A 4,498-nucleotide genomic window follows, 5' to 3' on the forward strand; every position below is an offset into this window, starting at 1 on the left:
GAGAGCCCAGTCTGTGCGCACCCTAATAGGAAAGACACAATGGCAGGAGAGCACCATTAGTGCTTGATTATGTGCGCAGATTCACCACTAGCTTTTTGAAGCTTGTCCCTCTTTTTTTGTGGTTGTCTTATATATGTAGCAACTAGCTCTTTCTGTATTTGGCTGTGATAGAAAAGATAAAAATAAAGGTAGGGTTTTTTAGATGATTTTTAATGCAATCTGAAGTTAGAAGCAGAATGTTAATAAAACATGGCACAGTAGAAAGCTTTCTCAATGAATGCTTTCAGAATAAGAATTTCTGTCTCATGTAGTCACTTACTCACTTAGCAGTGCTGTCAGAGTCTGAAGCCTATGTGGGTGGCAGCTTCCAGGGAATATGAATATACATGAGTGTGTGAAAATAGGGATATTAAAGGTAGCTAAAACCTTGAGTCATTTATTTTTCTATTTTCAACTTGGCCCTTAGGATAAAGCTGCACAACAAATTTAGGGATACCAAGTCGAAAACAAAATAACTAGAGTGTGCTGGATATTCCTAAACTTTATTAGATCTAAGAGAGCATACAAAACATAGTGATAAAAGAGACAGCGAGTGAGCTGTGTTTTAATAATTGAATATTGAATATTAAAGAGAGACTAGCAATGTTTTTATGGATTTTCCTTGGACTTTCCTGTGAAGTATTAAATAGTTTCCACCCTAATTTTCTTGCATTTAATAATTTGCAATCAGTTCATGCATTCATTCACTGAGTAAATATGTAAGCACCGTCTGTCTGTGATATTGCACTATCCCAAGTCATTTAAAATCTGATTAAACAGCTGAGGGGAACAGGTAATGGTAACAGAACATGAGCATGGTCTAAGCAAATATTACAGAAGAGAAGAAGTGAATTGGCACCAAATAGTCAATATGTCTTTTTGGCTTAATGCAACCTAGCACTGCAGAGAGGGAGGACTGACAGTGACAAAGTAATCCCTTTATCACTGTGTCTTGGAGTTTAAGTATTTGCTTTTCCATTAGGAATTAAAGAAGGCTAAATTTATATTTTATAGCTTACAACTTTTAGAAAGGAAACTCTCCTTGAGCACAAGCAACTATGCCTTTTATTATTTTTTTCTAGGACTAGAGTTCCTTGTACTTATGGTTTGTTGACATGTGCCTGGCCTCTTGGAGTACGTGCAGTTAGTAATATGCGGTTTAGAAGTAACAGAAACTAGCTGTGAATCAGCTTACACAACTGGAGGAAAAACAATCAGTCATGACAGCAATAATTAGAATTCATCAAATTATATTCATATTCTCTCCTGTAACTTCTTTATTCTGATAATCTCCAATGCACATTAAGAGCTAATTAGAGAAGAATTGTTCCATCCAACTGACATTTAGTTACTCATAAGCCATTGAACTGCTAGAGGCTGGACTATGTTGTCTTCTACAGTAGTTCATAATTAAGATGTTATAATGCACATAGACATTGTGTATGTATCTTTAAACATGCATAGGAGTTCATACTATATATTTCATTATGCCTAGAAATTTTTCATATTAACCTACCTTTTTCCCATTAGTTTTAAACAAGGAAAAAAGAAAAGCAGGAAAGCAGTGCAAATAGACGCCCGGTTTTACCCTGTGAGTTTTGGAGAATTTAGTCTTCACCAATTGCCAGATAGAAGAGTAGAAGTTGATTTTCCCTGGTAGATTTATTTAGAATCAGCCTGGAAGCAACTTCTGACTTTTATTTTGTGGATGAGAGATTCCCATGACAGTGAATTAAGTGAAGTGTGAAGGTCTTGGGTGCTAAGCCGGTGTCCTGCTGCTGAGCTGAGTTTGGTTGGTATTGCAGAGTAAATTGAAGCCAGTATAACAAGTCATTTGCACAATGTTAGACTAAAAATGCCTGTAAAAATCAAAGCACTCACATAAAAAAGATTCAACTAGAGAAATAATGGGACTCAATTTTGATGATCAAGAAAATCATCATAGAAGATTTTAGGAGGGCAGCACAAACGTCTCACATGATGAAGAAGGAGACTGATAGGATGGAAAGATGGCTGGATTCTCAAATAGGGGAATGAATAAAGAGAAGTAAGAACTTTGAAATGGCAGTCTACTTGAGATCGTACACATAAATGCATGTTTGTGGGAAAAGTCTACTGCTTGCGAACACATTTGTTAGTGAACCAAAAATGCCCTGTGGGTTAAAGCATTTCCCCACCCATCAGCAATTGAGGACAGCAAAGTACATGTTTAAAAAGGAAATTAAGTTCAATAGCTTCTGGTATGTTTGAATGGGAACATACATCATTTTTGCAAAGCTTCAGTGATATTCTTTAAACTGACAGCAGGTCTGGCCACATTTCCTTCAGTTTCACATAATGATTGAACTTGTGAACTCTCCTGGCTTCAGACATTTCAATGGTGTTGGCTCTTTTCAAACCTTCAGCTTGGAGGATTTCTCATAAATTTTATTTGTTTTTATTGTGAATTTTTAAAATTATTTTATCCAGTTGCTCATTGTTGGTGAAAGCAATGGAAAAAGTTACCGTTCATATTCTTGGTCTTTTTGGGTTAAATGATGTCACCCAGCACTGACCGGGGTGGGGGTGTGTGGGGAAAGCGATGGAAAGAATACTGTGAATCATACACAGGCTACGGGACCAAGAAGGTGAACGCTTGCATGTCTGGCTGTGAGTAGCTCCAAAGAGAAATTAAAATTTCATTTATTATCAAAAGAGGGACTATGTCTCTTCTGAATACATTAGAATGTGGTTTTTACTCTCATTGTGACAATCTTACCCACTAATACCCATCAAGAACACATTCATTTCTAGGAAATGTTGTTTGGAATACTTGGAAGAAAATTCTCTTTGCTTCTCCATGGAACTACCTCTTAGCTCTCTGTGCAAACAAAGAATGGCTTCCCCTTCCTTTCATTTTACACCTGCATTCTATATGATAATGGGTAGTGTATGAGCATTTCAAAAAACTACCCACAATATTTCAAATTATCATTAATTGTGTAGAAGTTTTTTTTCCTCTCACTGAAGAATTTCTGACTATATATTTACATGGCCTTTAGTAATTCCAGCATTTTGGGATATGTACTTTTATCATATGTCATGCATTTTCACCATCCAGAAAATCATGTATTAGGAAGCTGTGAAAAAAGCACCTTATGAACACCTACTGTACACTGAGGACTTTACATGGGCTATTTAAGTTAATATCCATAATAACTTGAAGAGGTAGACATTATTTTTATTTTAAAATGACTACATTTGTCTAGTGTGTTCAACAAGAAGTTTTTAAATCAGGATTTGAATAAAGTCCTTTTCTTCCCCAAAGCGTAAGAAAAAGATGAAAATAAATAACTCATAATCTCACACCTGAAGGCAAACACTGACAGCATTTTCTTATACAACTTATACTTTTTATAAAAGCTAAAATATATGTCTCACCCTATTCCCCGCCTCTCAGTTAGGGTCTCTGTCAGCAACAGAATTCCAATCAGACGGTTCAATTGAGAAGACCTCAATGAAGGGATGATTTGCTGAAGTGTGGATAGGGCTGCCAGAGCCAGCAGGGGGGTTGGGGTCATGAGGAAACTGAGATGGCAGCCTATTACCTCCCTAGTCTAAGAGGATCTGGCAAAAAATAATGTCACTGAAGCCCAGTGAAAGCTGGAATACTGGAGGAGGAGCTTCACACCGGGAACTGTAGTCTAGGAGGGATGCAACGACTGCCACAGCCACAGGGCAAGACTGGAAAGAAATAACCTGACCTCCAACTCTCTTTCCCTCCTCTCATTTTAGTCTCCTATTGGTCTTCTTATTGGCAGAACCTAGCTGGAAGCCAGCCTTGATGGGAGCCCAGGTGCAGGGTTAGCCTCTCAGAACACAGAGAAGGGCAAAGAATCGTGGAGGAGTGCAAATGATGAAAAGCCCACACAAGGTTTTGCTATGCATAATCGTTTTCTGTTTCAGTAAAATTAACATTTATCAATGGCTTAATAGCAGTTTGCCACCTGAATATGTCGTAATCTTTTACAATGGGATATTTAGGTCATTTGAGCATTTATTATAATAATGCTATAATAAACACCTTGTAGAAAACACTTTTGTACATATCTTTTATCATGTCCTTTGAATAAATTCCTGGAAGAGGAATTGGTGTTTGAAGGTCTTTGCATTTTTGAGATGAAATATAATATAACATAATGTGACCATTAAGTATACAGACTCTTGAGGACAGATTTTCCACGTTCAAATCTTGGCTTTGCCATTTACCAGCTGTGTGGCCTTGGAAAATTAATTAACCTCTCTGAGACCCAGTTTCTTCCTCTTTAAAACTGGGCTAATAATAACATACGGCAATTTTTAAGCCTAGTTAATAAATGCAAAACATTCGTAATACTATATGACTTGTAATTACAATATAAATATTAACTATTGTTATTTGTAAGGCAACATTTTTTTTTCTTTTTTGAGATGGAGTCTC

The sequence above is a fragment of the Homo sapiens genome, chromosome 12, assembly GCF_000001405.40.
Source record: "Homo sapiens chromosome 12, GRCh38.p14 Primary Assembly".
Taxonomy (NCBI): Eukaryota; Metazoa; Chordata; class Mammalia; order Primates; family Hominidae; genus Homo; species Homo sapiens.